Source organism: Homo sapiens, chromosome 12 (genome assembly GCF_000001405.40).
Source record: "Homo sapiens chromosome 12, GRCh38.p14 Primary Assembly".
Taxonomy (NCBI): domain Eukaryota; kingdom Metazoa; phylum Chordata; class Mammalia; order Primates; family Hominidae; genus Homo; species Homo sapiens.
In genome coordinates this window covers 109,578,829-109,598,474 of record NC_000012.12, presented here as the reverse complement: position 1 = coordinate 109,598,474, position 19,646 = coordinate 109,578,829, and the positions used below count along the sequence as shown (strand labels likewise).

The 19,646-nt window shown below is 53.6% G+C and overlaps 1 protein-coding gene across 15 annotated transcripts in view; it reads right to left on the bottom strand.

Moving 5' to 3' along the window:
* MVK (mevalonate kinase) overlaps positions 350-19,646 on the bottom strand; it is a 24,854-nt gene continuing 5,557 nt past the window's right edge. For 6 of the 15 annotated variants that reach the window (XM_047428873.1, XM_017019314.2, NM_001414511.1 and 3 more), the window contains 8 exons: positions 18,529-18,673; positions 16,925-17,080; positions 12,350-12,453; positions 11,676-11,721; positions 7,614-7,704; positions 7,118-7,234; positions 3,294-3,447; positions 350-2,049 (listed from right to left, as the gene is read on the bottom strand). In XM_047428873.1, coding sequence (XP_047284829.1) covers positions 1,898-2,049; positions 3,294-3,447; positions 7,118-7,234; positions 7,614-7,704; positions 11,676-11,721; positions 12,350-12,453; positions 16,925-17,080; positions 18,529-18,673 — 965 coding nt within the window. In that variant the 3' untranslated portion in view covers positions 350-1,897. Of the gene's footprint in view, positions 2,050-3,282; positions 3,448-7,117; positions 7,235-7,613; positions 7,705-11,309; positions 11,385-11,675; positions 11,722-12,349; positions 12,454-16,924; positions 17,081-18,528; positions 18,674-19,192; positions 19,311-19,646 lie in introns of all 15 variants that reach the window. The other 9 variants (XM_017019313.3, NM_001301182.2, NR_182758.1 and 6 more) reach the window with 8 other exon arrangements.

The window sequence follows — 19,646 nt, the reverse complement described above, 5'->3', positions numbered from 1 at the left end:
CTGGTTGTTCATTAAAATCGCGTGGGGAGGAAAACATGCAGGTCCGAGCCCCACCCCGGTCAAATACATCCGAATCCAGAAAAACGAGCCTGAGCACAGAAAGCTAAAAAATCGCAGTGAGCCTGCACACAGAGCCGCACCCAGCAGACACACGTAGGGGCTAAGAGCAGGCTCTGGAGTCCATTTGAATCCGGCCTCAGATGCTGATGAGCTGTGTGGACTTGCACCAGTTACTCGATCTCTCTGACCTTTGGTTTCCTGGTCTGTAAAGCGGGGATGAGACTAGCAATGACACTGAGGTCGGGGCAGAGATGAGAAGGGGCGATGCGTAAACACGCCTAGTCCACAGTGAGCGTTCAGTATTAATTAGTATTACTGCTTTATGCGTTGTGTTTTGAAGGGAAGGGGCAGGGAACAGCCATCAGTGATCTGGGGCCATTTCTACAAGTTAAGCTGGGGTAGGCGTCCTCCCTTCACTCTCACGTTCCCAGCAGTGATCCCAGGCCGGGCCCAAGGCTGGCGTGGGGGTGGAGCTCGGCTCCTGCTCCTCTCACCCTGCAGGAAGACAACAGCAGGGAAGGCCGCCAGCTGCCCCCTAGTGGCCAAGGGCAGACGCGCACTGAATCGCTTTCACCTCATCCTGAAATCCCTGCGCCGGCCCCCACCTTTCCACTCGGCCTCTTTGCAGGTCCGTGGGTCCCAGAGGTTCTGGCTGGCAAGGCACCAACTACAAGGGTTTCCTGATGGCTAATGGCATTTCGGAAAGCACCAAGCTGACTGCAATATAAAGTTCAAATAGGGCCGGTGGGGGGCGGGGGTGGGGAGTGCCAGGCACCCGGGCCAGAACATTTGAGTCTGTTTTCTCCATCCAGCCAGTTCATTTCAGAAAGGAAGGCGCGCCCCAGGAGCGATGGCAGGTTCTGCTTTCCTGTCTTACACAGGTCTGTGCTCTCGTGGGTGCTTGTGATTCTGGAGCTAGGAAGCTCAACTTCTCCCTCCGCAGCAGCAGCCTAGAGTTGTGCTGATGGACTGAGAGCCGTGTCCCAGTCCCTCTCCAGCAAGGGCCATCTGGGAAAAGCCACCTCATCCCCAAGACGCACAACAAAGTGACCCCAAACCCTATTTCCCTCCATTGCTGAAGAGCTCCATGGAGGAAACAGCTGGAGAGGGGACAGGGACAGAGGGAGGTGCTGGTGGCCTGGAGTCTCTACTGTTGACACAAAATCTTTTTATTCCCCATTTGCCATCTTTTCCACAAACCTCTCAGGTACAGATCGGAAGAAAGTGCATATAAACCCTGCCTTATTTAACCAGGCCCACCGCCTCCGGGACAGCCCCTGGGGGAGCCCCATCCCGCTAGGTAGAAGGGAAGGCCACACCAAGTGCTGAGTGAGCCACCCAGACAGCAGGTGCTCTGGGAGGGAGGGGCGACAAGGGGTAGGGGAAGGCTTCCTGGAGGAGGGAGAGGCCTGGCCCTGAGAGACAGGGGGCGGTCCCTGAAAAGGGAGAGAGAAGGCACACTTCTCCGGGAACCAGGCCCCAGCACCTGAGCATTGGACCCAGGCGGCCAGGAAGAACACAGGCCAAGGCGGGGGCCTGAAGCAGATGGGACTGTGGGAGCTTCAGGGAAGCAGCCCTTCTCGCCTCAGGTCTGGAGTCTCAGAGGACCCTCCTAGGCCTCCTGCTCGGCTGGCTCCAGAGGATGCAGAGGGCAGACCATGCCTCCCTAGGTCCCACCGCTGGGACTGCAGAGCTTGGCTGGCATCGCCAAGCGGCTGGGGCCTCTCCAGCAGTGTCAGGAGCTGGGCGCTCGCTGGCCAGCACAGAGTCGAACTGCAGCCCCCAGAATAATCCAGAAAGGGGCATCTGGGTGGGGCTGCAGTGTCGTGGGCTCCTCTCAGAGGCCATCCAGGGCTTGCTGGACTCGGCTGTCCAGGGAGGTGGCTGAGTGGATGGAGACGCCGGGGGCACCGATGCTGGTTTCCAAGCAGTCAAAGCCACAGCTGGTCAGGGCCTGCTTCGTGGCCTCCACTTCTGGCTGCTCCAGCCCTGCGGGGAGGGAAGGCAGGTCACCCTTGACAACTCTCCGCTCCGTGGGAGAAGCTCATCATATTCAAGGCAAAAGCCCAGGCCTTCCTGCTGTGCCTTCCTGGCTGTGACCCACCTGAGCCAACAGGCCATAAAGCCCAAGGTTACCTGCAGCCCCTCCGTGCACTGGAATGCCCAGCCTTGCACCCCCAGGGGTTTAGGGAGCAAGAGTTAAAAACATGGGCTCTCAAGTCACAGGACTTGGCCTTGCCTTGTACTGGCCGTGTGGCCTCAGACAAGTGACTTCCCCTCTCTCAGTCTCAGTCTCCTCATCTGGGAATGGGGCTAATGATGACTCCCCGTGCAGATCTCAGGGAGGCTTAAAGGAAATAACGCAGGTAAAGTGCCTGGCACAACACCTGGCACAGCGGGCACACTCCAGAAATGTCAAGTCCCACCATCGTCATGGGCTCTGAACTAGGAACCAACAGTTGGGGTTGGCTGGAGTGAGGATGTGGCCACCTCCTGAGGCCTGGGAGCCATCATGGAGTGTGAGGGGATGTCTGGAGCCTAAGGGGGCTCAGTGCAAAGCAGAGGGGAAAGGAAGGATGAAGAACAGAGAGGAGGAGATAAAGACAGAAAGAGAAAGAAGGAAGGAAGGAGGGGACAAGGAGCACAGAGGGAAATGGAGGCAGGTGGGACCGGTTAGTGCCTACTGTAGGCCAGGAGCGAGCCTGAGGGCAGAGGTAGGTGTCAGGTGGTTAAACACTAGCAGAAGCCCCTTGCCAGGCCCCCAGGCACCAGGGAGCTTCCTAAGCCAAGCCCATTACTCGGTCTTCCTCTTTCCCCAAACCAACGGGAAGGAAACCCTTTCGTTTTGTAGCAAAATCAACCGCATCCTGACCACATCAAGGGTACAAGTGGGGCAAGGTTAGGCAGACGTGGAGAGTGACAATGCCCTGGTTACTTCCCAAGCTTGTGCGGACAGCCCCGATGACAGGAGCCCCAGCCACAGCCCAGCCCTGCACCAGGCTCTCTAGGTGCACTTTCCTGCTTGAATCTGGGCAACGATCTTGCAAGCTAGATACTCTCATCCTTATTTTACCAATGAGGAAGCAAAGACCAGAGGTTAACTAACTTGCCCAAGGCCACACAGCGGAGCTGAGACCTGTTTCCAGGTCTCTTTTTCCTTTCAAGGGAATTCTCCAGGTGGACCCCTCTTAGGAGCCCAGGCTGGCAGCCTGGCCCACCTACCCCCGGGATACCTGGCTTGAGGAGTGTGATGCCACAGCCACCACCGCCTGCGCCAGTCAGCTTGCTGTGAAGTCCGCGGGCCCTGGTCACCTGGCAGAGCTGGTCCAGAGAGGCGTGGCCCACGCCGAGGGCATTCAGATGGTGCTGGTTCATGTCAATGAGCTCCTAGGGGAGAAGGTTCCATCTGTTCCCACTTGGCCTGCCTGAGGCCAAGGTCCTATGCCCACCCCTGAGCCTGCCTCGTCCATCTGACAGTTGTTGGCTGGAGACAGCCAACGGCTTTGCCTACCTGGCACCCTGGCCCTCTCCACTTGTAAAAGAATCCTTCTGCCCTGCAGCATTTCTCACGGAGCTTGGGTAGAGCTGAGCATACCTTCACCACAGCAGTGAGCACATATCCTAGGGCTGGTCACAGAAGCCTCTGGCACTGGTGACTGATCAGGGATGGGCATGTGGTCCAAGCTGGGCCAATCACAGCCCTCCCAGGGTTTCCTCTGCCCCTTCCCACTAGAGCTGCTAAAATAATTAACTTCAGACACAAGTCGCCAAGATGACCTATCTTGCCACATGATCAGATATTACGTGGCAGATGGACAGATTCCCGACACATTGTTTCAGCCCCTGGATTGAGCTATACCTGAAGCCATTTACCTCTGGTCTTCTCAGTTGAGAGCCAATACATTCCCTTTCTACAAAAGTCTGGTTGAAATGGATTTCTGCCATTTGCAAGAGAAAAAGTTTCAAATAACATGCCTCCCTACAGCTGCCTTGGGGACTGGTTTCAGAATAAGAACTAGGTGTAACTCCAGCAAGGCCATAAGCAGGGAAACAGCTGTTTGTCTAGGTTTCTTCAGTTATGCAGGATAAACTTCCTGCTCTTTAAGGATCCAACAAGATGCATGTGGATGAAAAAATAAAACTTCACAGCTTCCACTGCCCAGGCACCCAGTAGTTAGATTTCATTTACCAAACACCCACAACGTGCTGGGGCTCTAAGGATGGGTGCCCAGCCACGGTCCCAGCCATCAGGAAGTAAAAACCATGGGATTTGGAGTCAAGTAGGCCTGTGTTCGAGTCTCTGCTCTGCCCCTTTTTGGTCGTGTGTCCTTGAGCAAGGTCTTCTGCACTGGGTCTGTCTCCTGCTTGTAAACCGGGGTCATAAGAGTATCTGCCTCAGCAGGGTGTGGTGGCTCACGTCTTTAATCCCAGCACTTTGGGAGGTCGAGGCGGGTGGATCACTTGAGGTCAGGAGTTTGAGACCAGCCTGGCCAACATGGCGAAACCCCATCTCTACTAAATATACAAAAATCAGCCACGTATGTTGGCGTGTGCCTGTAATCCCAGCTACTCAGGAGGCTGCGGCACGAGGATCATTTGAACCTGGGAGGATGCAATGAGCCAAGATTGTGCCACTGCACTCCAGCCTGGGCGACAGAGCAAGATGACTCTGTCTCAAAAAAAAAAAAAAAAAAAAAATCTGCTTCTTTGCCCTGAGACGAAACAAGGTGAGTTTTCTGTTCAATGCCTGGCACGAGATATGTGCTGTTAGTATTTTTATGGGTACGTTAGCATCATCCCCACTTTACAAAAGGGGAAACAGAGGCTCAGAGAAGAAGTGACTTGCCCACGATCACTGAGCTAGTAGGTACCAAGCTGGCACTGGAAGGCGGGTCTGCCTGACATGAAGCTCCTGTCTACCCTGCCTCTGAGAGCACCCCCTGGCATTCCTCACTTCCGTGTGAAGCTCTGTTCCGGGGCACCTGGATTGCCTGTATACCAGGAGTTGCCAATCACTGAGGCATCTCTGCGGAGGCCCACCTAGCTCTCCCGCATGGGGATGGCCGGTCAGGCAGGGTTGGAGTGGCCCTCCCCAACAGCCTGCCTCATACCTCGCTCTGCGCCAAGCTCACCATTTTTGACAAATGAGCAGACAGGCATGATGGCCTGGTGGCAGCCCCGGGTGCCTCTCACCAGCCTGATGGGCTGGATGTGAGAGAAGACTTCTGGGGGCCGCTCTCTGCGCCTGAGCACCAGGTGTCACGTTGCCGAGGCAGGTTCCAGACACCTGTCACATTCTGATCCAAAATCTGTCAAGGATCAGATGACAGGTTGTGACACAGGAGAACAGTTCGCTGGTTTGAGTGCAAAGCTGTCCAGGAGCTGAGCTGCACATTTCAGCGGCTGCCACAGCCAAAAATACACACAATGTATAATCAACGTGCTGTTCTGTGGCATTCTCCAGGGACTCGACAGGGTGTATTTTAGGCAGTATTCTATCATTATTGATTTCCTACTCGGGGGGACTGTGTTCCCTCCTTTCTATGTGGAAGGAATTGAGAGCTAGGAAGACAAAGACTGAGGGAATGAGGGCCGAAACACAGGAATTCGATGGAGGCGCTGCCCTGGCACATAGTAGGTGCTCATGACAGATCTGTTGAATAAAGGGACAGACCAGTCCGTCGGCTGGACCCCTGGCTCGGCCACTCACTAGCTGGATAACCTTGGGGGAAGTCTCTCTTCAGGCCTCAGTTTTTACATCTGTAAAATAGGGATAAGACACCTACTTCACAGGGAGGTGGGTGTGAGGATCAAGTGAAAAGAATCATTTGTAAAAGGCTTGCTTTAGTGGCAGCTTCCACTCAGCACAGGGGCTACAGACTCGAATGCCCACGGGGGACCGGGAGACACCAGGCAATGACTACAGAGTGCGGGGCGCGGGGAGGGACTGTGGTGACATGGAGACCGCACGCCCCTCTCCTGTCCCTTCACTGACGGCTGCTGCACAGCCACGGCAGCTAGGGGCCACCCGATCCTCTCATTCTGCAAGGGCAGCCAGATGGCTAACAGCCCATATTCACCAGGCCAGGTGGACTGTGTCCAGGGGGAGCCTGGGCTCTTTGGTTCCCTAAGCTCATAGCACACCAGACATTGTGCTTGCGTGTCACCCATGAGACTCCAAGCATTTTTTGTGTGTGTGTGAGACAAGGTCTCATTCTGTCGCCCAGGCTACAAACTTGACCTCCTGGGCTCAAGTGATCCTCCTGCCTCAGCCTCTCGAGTAGCTGGGACTACCGATATGTACCGTCATGTCTGGCTAACTTTTGTATTTTTTGTAGAGACAGAGTTTCACCACATTGCCCAGCCTGGTCTCGAACTCCTGGACTCAAGCAATCCACCTGCCTTGGCCTCCCAAAGTGCTAATACTACAGGTGAGCCACTGCGCCCGTCTAATCTGAGCATTCTTAAGACACTCTAGCGAGGCCACACGTCCAGCAGAAGTGGAGCTGGGATTCACACACAGGCCTGATCACACCCAAAGTACCAGGTCACAACCTCTACACTAGAATTATGCAAATGGCAGTGGATGGGGTTGCAATGATGAAAAAACAATGTTAGGATCTGTCTGACCCAAAGCAGGCAGTTGACAAGTAGTTGTTGAATGCACCCATGAAGTTAGCAATAGCAGGAGAGTGACCAAGAAGTCACCCCTGCACCGACAGAGCACTCTGCATCAGCCACATCCCCATCTACCTACGTGGGCCAGAGCTCCTTAGAAGTGACCCAAACCTGTTTCCATTGCACTTAGCACGAGCCAGGCCCTGGCCTCCCTTGCACTCTCCCAATTACTCGGAATCACCCAGGAAGAGGCCTGAAAATAAGATACGCTTATATGGCACGCACAGACCTGGGCCCAGCTGAGAGCATAGGCCAGAGGCAGGTCCTGACCTCTATGTGCTAGCTTCCGGGGGATTCTGAGCACAGCCAGATTGCAGAGCCACTGCCTTGGACAGTGGTGTGGACTCAGTAACCCCGGTTCCTGCAGACAGGCTCTTACTTCCAGCACGAGGTACTGCTCCGGGGCTGGGGCTTCCCCCATCTCTCCCAGCACGCGCTCACACTCCAGGGAGATGGCATCTATTGAGGTCAGGAGGGGGGCCACGATCTCTGGGAACTGGAGAAAAAAAGAAGGAACGGCTGGTGAGGCCTGGGGGCAGGCAGATGCAGGACAGCTGCCCCAGCAGTGGGGTGGAGGGAGGAGGTGTTCACACAGCCCGTGCCCATCCTCTGGGGAAACCACCTCTCTTCTGAGCCTGTTTTTTTGCCTTCCCAGCTGCAAAGTCAGTGTGTCTAACGAGCCCGACCACTGTCATTTTCCTGGCCAGGCTACGGGCACGGACGGTACCTTCTTTTCTGCCAAAACCACCTCCCTAAGGGCCCCCACCACCCACCACACCCCCTATAACCCATCAGCCAGAGGGAGACCTCGAAAATCCAGATGTAATTGTGTCCTGGCCTTCCTGAAACCTGCCCAAGAAGGGAACAAGAGTCACCTTGAGCAGCCTGTTTCTGACGCCAGCCACAAGGGCCCTGGTATTGCGAGGGACTTTGGTGTTGGTCAGCAGGATCTGGAGAGCTGGCGACCTGCAGGGTGAAGAGGAGGCAGGTCCACACTGAACTCAAGATGGAGGAGCTGGGACAGGACTGGGAGCAGTCCGGGAAGCCGCCCACCCTGATACGGAGGAAGAAGGGAGGCACAAGAGGTGACACTGGATTGGGGGAGCATGGGGCTTCTGCTGCTGGCCACAGCTGCGCCTCCATCCCAGGCACTGGTTGGGTGGCCATTCTCCCTTGGCTTTTCACTCATTTATTCATTCAACTTCAACTGGGACCTACAACATGCTAGGCACAGCGTGGCCTTGGGGCCGGGGCCAGAGAGGGGATAGGGGAGAAGGGCCGAGAAGGTTTTTCTGGCATGACGTGGACACTGAGAACTGAGGAAGGGTAAGAAGCCACCAAGCAAAGCTAGAAGGGTGAGGATTTCTGGCAGTTGGAGCAGCCTGTGTGAGCCTGGAGGTGGCGGAACCCGGCACAGTCATCCAGTGAGAAATTCAAAGTGGCTATAGCAGAGTACAAGGAGGGGGCGAAGGTTCACTTGTGTGGGTCACCCCCACGAAGCTGGAGTTTTAGAAAGACCAAGCAACAGGCCCTGAAATGGATCACACAGAGGGAAGATGCCCAGGCTAGCTGGTGCGGGCAGTGCCACGCACGGGCTCGTAAATGCAGGGAGGGCAGGGTTGCAGAGGAGGATGGTCCCCAGCACGCTGAGCCCATTCTTGCCCTACCTCAATGGTGCCCGGACGAGCAGCCCTGGTCTAAAACCAGATGTAGAGTCAGTCATCCCCTTGGCTGCCCTCTGGCACATAGACGTGTCCCAGGCAGCCACGTTGAGCTGACTCTCTAGCATGACCCCGTGGTCCTCACCTGCCCCAGAGGAGCTGCATAAATCCCTCCTAAAGCCACAATCCCAACTGTCCTTGTAGTGAGCCGTCTTCGAGGGCTCAAGCTGACATTTCTTGCCATCCAACCTGCCTTTCAGAGGGCTGCAGGCTGGGATGGAAGGTGGGGGATTTGGATGAGCTCTGGCCCGAGACAGCTGGAGACGGGCAGAGCCCTTGATACCTTTATTCGCTGTCTTCACAGTTCAAGATTGTAAAATCCAATAGGGCTGGAAAGGGCTGCCAGAAACCTGCTTTATCTCACTGCCCATAAGCCCATGAAATTAATATCGATTCTCAGCCTTGGAGGCTGGCTTTTTTTTTTTTTTAACTTTACAAAAGATGAACATTCTATTTGGCTTTTCTCTTCCCTTCTAAGACAAGCCATTCCTCAAAAGGGCAGCGTTCTGGGAGGCCGCATCTTGATCCACTTCACAAACAATGCATTTTTTCTTTACAGAGAGGCACCACGCATGGTTGGTGGGGGGAAGCTCCTTAAGCCATCCATGGGATTAACGTGGAGTCTGGCCCCCAGCTTCTCTGTGAAGCCGCCATCTGCTCCCGTGGCACCCCACAGCAGGCAGCAAAGGTTGGTTTGCTCCATGCTCCCATCTAGCCAGGCGGGAGGAGTTTGGGTGTTGCATCTTCATCTTTCTTAGACAAGTCCTCTGCAGACAGGCCTGTCACCAGCCCCACCAGATCCAGGGCTCATACCCATCCAGCGGCCACCACGCAGGGGGTAAGCCTGGTAAGCGCTCCTGTGATCCGGGCTTGGCCACTGCCCCAGCCTCTTCTTCTCTCCTCGCTCCCCAGGCTGCTCACTCCACTCAGCCACTCTGACCTCCCAGCTACTGTGTCACACGGCAGGCAGCGTGCTCGTCTCAGGACCTTTGCACCGCGCTTCCTCTGCCAGGGACCAGCCCCGCCCCATAGCGGCGTGACTTATTCAGGTTTCTGCTCAATGTTCCTTCACCAGCAGCCCCCGAACCCCCATCCAATCGGACCCCTCCTTCTCTTTGTAGCCTCTGACCCTGCCTTGTTTCCTAAAGGTGCTTAAGACTGCCTGATATGCTCTCACAGACAACTGATTTTTTCTCCTCTCCCAACAAAGTATGAGTTCCACGGAGGCGGGGCTTTGTTTTGTTCCCTGCGGAGGCCCCAGTACTCAGCACGCAGTAGGTGCTTAATGATACTTGTGGAAAGGATGAATGAACTCGGCCAGCAAACAGGTAAGCACTTCAGAGCCACCGCTTCTGATTGTATGTTCAAGATCCCCCTAAGTAAACAAGGAGCTGGAGGTCTGGGAGAAGTGACTCACCTGAGGGCACCAGCTGGCAAGTGGGAGAGCTGGACTCAAACCTAGGCCTGTGGACCCAGCGCCTCCGCCCAGCACACCAGCAACGCCTGGCCATTCCCCTGGCCGTTCCCCTGCCCGCCCCCCTTGGAAACCTCCTCATTCATCTCCTGATGCCCCCAGTAGACCGTACACTCGGTGCCCAGCCCACGTCTTCATCAGTTTTCTAGCTCCAGGGCCTAGTCCAGTGCTTAGGCCACAAGTGGCTCTCAGGAGACACTGAAGGAATGAAATGCCACCACTTCCATGAATGATTCCCCAGGCTCGCAGCCAGATCTAAGACGCCTGTCACTGTCACCCACAGCAGCTTCACAACCCTTCAGGTGTCTTCTCTCTGACGATTCCAGTGACCGCCTTCCCCATCAGACCGTGGGCTCCTGAAGACAGGCCGGGGCCCGGGCATTTGAGACTCCCCCACATGATCCAGCTCTGGTTCCACATGGATCCGGGGCGGTGGCAGACCAGCTTCACCTCGGCACCCGAGGCTCTCCTGACGACTGCTGGAGCAACCCGAGGAAGCTGTTCCACGCTCCTACTGGCTTCTGCGGAGTGCAAAGGTCGGCGGCAAGGGTGATTCTGCCTCCCAAGGGACACTAAGCAATGTCTGGAGATGTTTTTGATTGCCACGCTGAGGGTGCTACTGGCATCTAGTGGGTAGGGGCTGGGGATGGCTACAATGCACAGGGCAGCCCCACCACAAAGAATAACCCAGCCCCAAATCTCAATAGTGCCAATGCTGACAACTCTGACGTACAGCCTTGGAAAGGGAGGCATGACTGAGCTGGGACAGAAAGATCCCAGAGAACTAGCCGGGGGCCCAGGTGTGGCGCTGTGGCAGGCCAGGTTACTGAGCCACTAATGGAGTGGCCCAGCTGGTGGGGGCTGCAGGCCAGGACCTGCCACTCATCCATGAAGACCGCCCTGAGTAAAGAGGAGAGAGCCCCAGGACCCTTACTGATGCGAAAAGGCCCATGGAGGTGGCAAAGTGCCCTGGGACAAACACCACCCCACAACTTGATCAAGGGCTTAGGGAACAGTCAAAAAGGCACCTGGCTCCCCTCTGCCATGCGTTTCATTCCAGGCACCCAACAATTCTGCCGTGGGTGCAAACAGAACAGAGGATGCTGAAATCGCAAACAGAACAGAGAATGCTGAAATCGCACATGCACGTTTGTGATTCCAATGATTCCAGCGGGAGGGACACAGAAACATAAAACAGGCTGAGAGTCTCCAAATGTCACTTCTGCTCCAAGCCCCTCCCAAGCCTCCCTCCCGCTTCCATCCTGCCTCTGCCCTGTGTGCCTCCATCATGGTGACTCTCACATTGTCCTGTGGCGGCTTTTGTGTGTGTCTGGCCCCACCCCCACAAGCAGACTGAGAGTCCTTGGAAACTGTACCCAAGCTTCATCTCTCCATTCCTACGCCCCAGTGCAGCATCATCGGGAACACAGGAAGTAATGGATTCTTGTTTACTAAGCAAATACAGGAATGAATGAATGAGCAGCTGAGAGTCTACGGGCACAGCCATGCATGACTTTCCCTTTCTGATATCTCTGCAATTTAAGAGCTGAAGGGGAGAAGGAGAGAGCAGGTCTTCCCCACCACCCCTGCTTCCTTGCAGCTAGTGCACTGTGAGGGCCACATTGGGGGATGAAGAGCCAGGGACACCTGCCTCCTATGGTACTTCCCAAAGGTGCAGAGCTCTGCCCCCTGCACACATCAATGCAGCCATGGCTGAATGTGCTGCTCCACCCCCAGGTTACCTCTTTAAGGATGAAATCTTCCCTTGATGGTATCGGAGGGCTCCTCCTAAAGAGAAAAACCAGTGGGTCAGAGCTGTGGGAAAAGCTAACATATCTGTGCTACTTGGGAGAGAGGTTGAACTTTGGGTTGGGTTCATTTTGCCCCATTCAGGAAAGAGGCTAAGTAATGAGTCAGCCCAGCTTCAGTTACAAAAGGTGCAGGAGGGCAAAAGGTCCCCGAAGCCCCACCAGGAAGCTCTTGCCAGGCCTTGGATTCCTGGGTCCCCCTCCCTCCAGACTGTCCAGCTTCCCCCGACAAGCCACATGGTGAAGGTGGGGCCCAGGACACAGCATCTGGGCCCTGTAAGCAAGAGTTCTTGCCAGAGGGGAGGCCACCTGGATGGTGTGCAAACTCCACGGCAACGGCTCTGCATCCTGAACCTACAACTCTCTTGGGGAGCTCGTGGAAGCTGCAGCTTCCCAGGCCCCAGTTCCACCCCCGGAGATTCTGATTCAGGGGGTGTGAGACAGGGCCCCAAGATTTCTCCCCATTCCCCCCAAAATAGGAAAATGCTATTTTTTCCAGAATCCATTGATTCGATTCCTCCCAAACCAGCACAGACTCTTGGGCACCTACCATTGTAATAAGAATTTTTAAAATAACAACAATAAAATAAACCTGAGGCCACACCTACCCCAGGTGCTGACAGCATTGTCCACTCCGGAGGGGTTCCCGTGAATCATTCTCTCCCCTTGGAAGGCCCACTTGTTAATTAGCTCCAAATCCTCCTTGGTCCACCTGAAGACACAGATGTTCATCTTTACTGTGGCAGTGAGGAGTGGGGCTGGGGAGGGGTCACCTGGGGCTGTGCTGGGCAGGCCAAGGGGCATAGGAGCTTGGGCCCTTGAGCTCAGAAAGAACAAGTCCACTCTGAACCTCTCCAGCTACGGAGCGTGCCAAGTGTGCGCCCTTCCCTCTGAAGCCCACCTGGCGCAGTCAAAACAGCCTGGGCTTTGGACTCCCGTGGTCCTACTTTGCCTCTTTTTTTTTCTTTTTTTTTGAGACGGAGTCTCACTCTGTCACCCAGGCTGGAGTGCAGTGGTGCAATCTCAGCTCACTTTCTCCCGGGTTCAAGCAATTCTCCTGCCTCAGCCTCCCGAGCAGCTGGGACAACAGGTGCACACCAGCACGCCCAGCTAATTTTTGTATTTTTTAGTAGAGACGGGGTTTCACCATATTGGACAGGCTGGTCTCGAACGCCCGCTTTGGCCTCCCAAAGTGCTGGGATTACAGGCATGAGCCACCGCACCTGGCCCCTGCATTGCCTCTTACTAGCTGAGTGACTCTGGGCCTGTTATCTAACCTCTCTGAGCCTCATTATCCTTCCCTGGAGAATTGGAACCCCCACCCTCCTCAGAGGCTAGCTGCATGTGTGTCTAATGATGGCAAGGTGTCCACAAGCAGCAGGTGGCAACTGCCACTATAACAGACCTCTGCATAAGCGTCCACACCTGAACCAAGCCTGCCTTTAAGAAGAACGGGCAGAGGTGTGACTCTTTCCCAGGGCCCTGCAAGTAGATCCAAAGCACGATCATTATGAATTCAAATCCCAGGAGCCCCAGAGACCCCTGGAGGGGCCAGGCTCGTCCCAACCATGTCTGGATCTCTCCCAAGCACGTGGCCTCACTGCCTTCCATGGACCAGGTGTGGGCTCACAAACAGTTTAAATGAACAGACCCAAAACACATGAGTATGGAACAAGACAAAATGATCAACCCCACTTCCCCACTCTTTTCTCTCAGCTTTTGTTTCCTTTCTGCAGATTCCCTTCCTCATGAAACAGCAGAAGCTAAAGGTGGTTTTCTGACCTCTGAGAATGATGTGGCTCAGTGGCAGAGTTATGGAGTAAGCAGTCAGCCTAGTTTTGTTTTTTTGAGATGGAGTTTCGCTCTTGTCCCCCAGGCTGGAGTGCTGTGGCACGATCTCAGCTCACTGCAACCTCTGCCTCCTGGGTTCAAGCGATTCTCCTACCTCAGCCTCCCGAGTAGCTGGGATTACAGGCGCCTGCCACCACGCCTGGCTAATGTTTGTATTTTTAGTAGAGATGGGTTTTTGCTGTGTTGGCCAGGCTGATCTCGAACTCCTGACCTGAAGCGATCTGCCTACCTCAGCCTCCCAAAGTGCTGGGATTACAGGCGTGAGCCACCGTGCCCAGCCAGTGAGCCCTTTTTGGAGCCCATCCTATCACTGACTCACTGGGCATCTGTGAGCAACTGCTTCACCTTAAACCCTGTTTTCTCATCCATAAAACAGGGATAATAGTGTCTATCTCACTGAGGATATTGAGATGGAAAAAATACACAAGTGCTTTGTGTAATGCCCAGGAGATAGGATGTGCTCCCCTCAAAATAGGCCGTCTGGGGTCACAGCGCCTGGGGGCCTGGTTCAATCACTTACTTGCTGTGAGCCCTGAGCAAGTCAATTACCTGCTCTGAGTCTCTTTCTTCATCTGCCAAATAAGGATTTTTACGGACTTGGCAACTCACATGGTAGCTGTGAGACTATGATTAATAATGAGTTAACATCAGTTAACATACTATTGATTAGCATGTGCCAAACATTGTGCTAAATGCTTTCTCAAATGGACCATTGAGAAATGGTTCATAATCCTCCCAATTGTGCCCTACAGGGAAGGTATAATAATTATCCTGTTTCTTACAGAAACGGAAACTGAGGCTTGGATGGGTCAAACAGCATCCTGGAGATCACAGTGCTACTCACTGCTGGGTCAGGACCACATCTGCTGACTTGGAGCCCAAGCTCTTAGCTACTAACTTAATGGTGCCAACAAGATACACTCACTTATTCATTCAGCATTTATTGAGCAACTGCTATGTGCCTGTGACTAAGCTCCTAGTAGGGAGCAAAACAGACAAGGTCCCTGACTTCTTGGAGCTTAGAGTCTAATGGAGAAAGTGAAGGTCAGAAAGCGATCAGTATTCAAATACAAACAAATCCATGACACTGCAATATGTGACTTCAAAGCAGGTGTTTCTCAACAGGTGCTGGAGAGGATGTGGAGAAATAGGAACACTTTTACACTGTTGGTGGGACTGTAAACTAGTTCAACCATTGTGGAAGTCAGTGTGGCGATTCCTCAGGGATGTAGAACTAGAAATACCATTTGACCCAGCCATCCCATTACTGGGTATATACCCAAAGGACTATAAATCATGCTGCTATAAAGACACATGCACACGTGTGTTTATTGCAGCACTATTCACAATAGCAAAGACTTGGAACCCACCCAAATGTCCAACAATGATAGACTGGATTAAGAAAATGTGGCACATATACACCATGGAACACTATGCAGCCATAAAAAATGATGAGTTCATGTCCTTTGTAGGGACATGGATGAAATTGGAAATCATCATTCTCAGTAAACTATCGCAAGAACAAAAAACCAAACACCGCATATTCTCACTCATAGGTGGGAATTGAACAATGAGAACACATGGACACAGGAAGGGGAACATCACACTCTGGGGACTGTGGTGGGATGGGGGGAGAGGGGAGGGATAGCATTAGGAGATATACCTAATGCTAAATGATGAGCTAATGGGTGCAGCACACCAGCATGGCACATGTATACATATGTAACTAACCTGCACATTGTGCACATGTACCCTAAAACTTAAAGTATAATAATAATAAAAGAAAAAAAAAACAGACCAAGGATCCAGAGCTACCTAATTACATTTAATAAATGATAATATAGTTAAAAAAACAAAAACAAAAACAAACCAGGTGTTTCTGTAAGAGTACGATGGGCTGAATTGCTGGGGGCTGGGGCGGGGTGGTGGTGCCTGAAGGACAAGGGGAGCCAGCTGGGCAAGGTGTGTGTGTGGGGTGCATTCCAGACACACCACTTGTGCAGCACTGGAACCACACCAGAGCTGGCTGGCCCTTCCCAGGGACCAACAGGTGGCAGCGTGCCTGGGATGAAGTGAGTGATGGAGGCGGGGGAAGGTAACTCAGGCAGCTGACCTAGCCCAGGGCCTGGCCCTCTCAACAAATGTGAGTCTTCCTCCTGCTCTACACAGTTTGTTTTTTAGGGGGCTCAGATTTGAGTCTTCAAAGGAGACTGGGCTCCAGTCCTTTCCGACTCAGAAACACATGATGGGTGGGGTGTGGTGGGGTGGGGTGGGGTGGGAGGTCTACTCTCCCTAAGGGTTCTGAGAAGGAATGACTGGCCTTCAGGGGAAGGTGGGAGAAATGGTTAGAAGCAGCATAAGAACACACACACATGCAAGTGCACACACACAGTCACCCTCCACCTTTTGAAAGACAGGGCCAGTCCTTTGGCCCGTGGAAAATCACTTGAACCTGGAGGCAGAGGTTGCAGTGAGCCAAGATCACACCACTGCACTCCAGCCTGGGTGACAGAGCGAGACTCCATCTCAAAAAACAAACAAACAAACAAACAAACAAACAAACAAAAAAACCAAGCTCAGAAAACAAAACAAAACAAAACAAAAACAAGCCCAGGAAGAGGACAGAGCTCTGCATTTGGGGGCCTCATCCACAACTCCTGGTCCTGGGACAAACTGCGTAACCTCTGCGCACTGGGTGGTTTCTCAAGGAACATTCTCCTAATGATAGAAATGGTCTGTGGTCAAGCCTGTCTGGACAGGCCTCACTGACTCACGTGGTCAATAGGAACGCAGAGAGGTGACACGCCCTCCGTGGAGACGGCCCCGTAGGAGGAGAGATGCCCTAGTCTAATGGGCACACCCCCTAATGTGGATTTCTCAGCAAACTCTTAGTTTCTTTCATAACCATGTGGTAAAACTGGACAATCACCCCTAGGGCACTGTCATTACCATACAGAGGAGAACACTGTCCTAGCCTGAGTCAATGCAGAGGTGGGAGGGTTCATCTAACCTGCTGCCCTCTAGATCTGGACTCCAGCTCTTTCTACCATACCATGGGCGCTTGAAACCAACAGAGCCAAGATGGGGGTGAGCAGAGGTGGTGGAGAGCAGGAGAGAAAAGCTCAGACTCTGAGTTCAAATCCCACTCTGCCAGCACTAGCTGTGTGGCCCTGGGCCAGCCATTTGACCTCTCGGGGCTCAGCTTCCTCATGTTAAAATGGCCACTATGACACCTCTCACCTCACAGGGAGGTGGTGAGGTCTCAGTGAGAGAAGCCACGTCCCTGTCCTGCCGTGCGGGAGGGACACTGGCCAGGTAAGGACCATGGTTACCTGTTGACGCAATCCCCGTCCTTCAGCGGGTTTGGGATCTCCTCGCACACAGTCAGGAGGGCTGCTGCCAGACACACCGAGTAGGCGGCGCTGGAGCCCAAGCCCGCCCCGGGGGGCAGCTCCGACCACACTACGATATCCAGGCTCGGCAGGGCCCTGAAACACACCAGGGTGTGAAACGTGACTCTCCCGCAGGGCAGTGGGGTGCCAGCACTGAACCAGGGGCCAGGCCCAGGCCTGACTCCAAGCATCTGGTCCAGTTTTCTCAACTGGGGGAGAATTCCTGACCCCAAATGTATCCCTATTGAACATCAGGAACTCATGCTGAATCAGACAACTAGAAAACAGGTATCAAGTTCATTTAAATCCCTGGGTCATTCAACCAGAGCCCTTCCCAGAAGCACCTGGCAAGCTGTCAACCCCTTTCTCCCACCTCCTTCCTGTGCCCACATGCTAGGCTTTTCTGTGGGCCTGCTCTGAGCACAGGCTGGCCCCTCTGCCTGCAATAGCCGTGCACCTCCTTATCCCACAGAGAAATCCCTACCCATCTCTCAAGGCCTTATCAAATGTCGCTTCCACTGTGACACTTTCCGTAGCTGCCCACAAAGACCCTCCTGGCTCCCCTTCTAGGACCCCCGCCTGCCCTCCCTCCCTCCACCGCTGCCTCACCACCGCACACTAGGATTGTGTGTTCACCGGGGCCTCTCCCGCCAGACGGTGCTCCCCAACCATGTGTAACACGGGTCTGCTTTTGATCACCAGAAAGGTCCGAATCGCTACATCTTACATGTATTTCCCCCAAGCAAGAACTGTCAAACTTCATGTTTGGTAATTTCCACGAAGTGCTTTTCCCATTTCCCAAATAGAAAAATTGTAATAATGTGCGTCTTCAAATTCCACGTACCCACCCCACCCAGCCTGGAAGATTCTGGAATGCCCCTCACCCACTTAAGGGGACATGCCTCTCTCAAGTTGAAATTCTGCTTCGGACGGCAAGTATCAGGCCGTTTCCGAATGTGTCCTCAGCATAGAGCCTGGCCACTGAGCCAGCATCTGCTGCTCAAGGGAAGGGCTGCCCCCTTGAGGTTTTTTTCCCTTTGGGTTCTGGACAAAAACAAAAACAACAAAAACAACAACAGAGAGGCTGGGGCCGGGTGCAGTCGCTCATGCCTCTAATCCCAGCACTTTCAGAGGCCAAGGCAGTTGGATCACATGAGCCCAGGAGTTTGAGACCAGCCTGGGCAACACAGTGAGACTCCATCTCTACAAAAATTTAAAAATTTAGCCAGGCATGGTGGTGCGCACCTGTAGTCCCAGCTACTTGGAAGGCTGAGGTGGAAGGATCACTTGAGCCTGGGAGGTCGAGGCTGGAGTCAGCTGAGATCATACCACTGCGTTCCAGCCTGAGCAACAGAGACCCTGTCTCAAAAAAAAGGCACGCCATATATACCGTGCCTGGCAGGGTGCCTGGCACATGATGAGGACAGCCAATGGCTGCTGCTCTAGAAGAGAGCATGTGCATTCTCCAGCAGCAATGACAGAAACTCTTCCTTTTTCTCCATGGGAGGCTGAATCTGGACTCCTTCCCCAGACCACGCACACACCTCTGCTTCCGGCAGATGGACAGGTATAAGTAAAGAAAGGCCAGCACAGCCAGGCGCTCGGTGACAGCACAGTCGTCAGGCAAGCCTGCAACCTCCTTTAGCTTCTCCACTTGCTCTGAGGTGGGTGTTGTGACATCACCTTGCTCTGTTCCACAGGCAAACAAGCAAACACAAGTGGGTGAGAGGGACTTTGGTGCTTTATAAACAACAGAACACAGAAAATCGACTAGTCACTGGAATTGGAACATGGATGGACACGAATTTATGGTCTGAACCCCACACCCAAGTCTGTTCATTGGCTTTAGGCAGACTTGGGTTTGAGTCCCAACTGTGCCATTTACTGGCCGTGTGACTTAACCTCCCTGAACCTGTTTCCCACCTTGGTAAAACAGGGATAACAACAGTGCCTCTTCTTACGGTTGTCAGGAACGTAAAGTTAAATAAGGGGTGTAAACTTTTTAGCACAGCACCTGGCATGTAGTAAGTGCTAATTAACAGTAGTTTTAAGGTTGGGTGCAGGCGCTTATGCCTGTAACCCCAGTACTTTGGGAGGCCAAGGTGGGCAGATCACTTGTGCCTAGGAGTTTGAGACCAGCCTAGGTAACATGGCGAAACCCCAACTCTACAGAAAGTACAAAAACTAGCCAGGCATGGTGGCGCACACCTGTGGTCCCAGCTACTCAGAAGGCTGAGGCAGGAGGATCGCTTGAGCCCAGGAGGTTGAAGAAACAGTGAGCTGTGGTCGCACCACTGTACTCCAGGCTGCATAACAGAGTGAGACCCTGTCTCAAAAAAAAAAAAAAAAAAAATTGTAGTCTTAAAACAAACACACACAGACACACAGACACACACAGAGAATGCTGGCTCAATCGCACAAGGGCCTAGGTTTCACCTTCCATTGTATAAAACCAAAATCAAAAGAGTGTTAAGTTAACCCCCAAAATATTTCCCTCCTCCAAAAGATAATCATCAGGAATAGGACAGTGTAAATGCGAGGCGGTGCCTGGGCAGAAGGGGAAGGTGAGGCAGGTTGTTCCCAGGGATGTACAGGAACCTGGGCCACTTTCCTCTGAGACACTGAGAAGGCAGAGCCTTTCTGGCCAGCTCACCTTTACAAA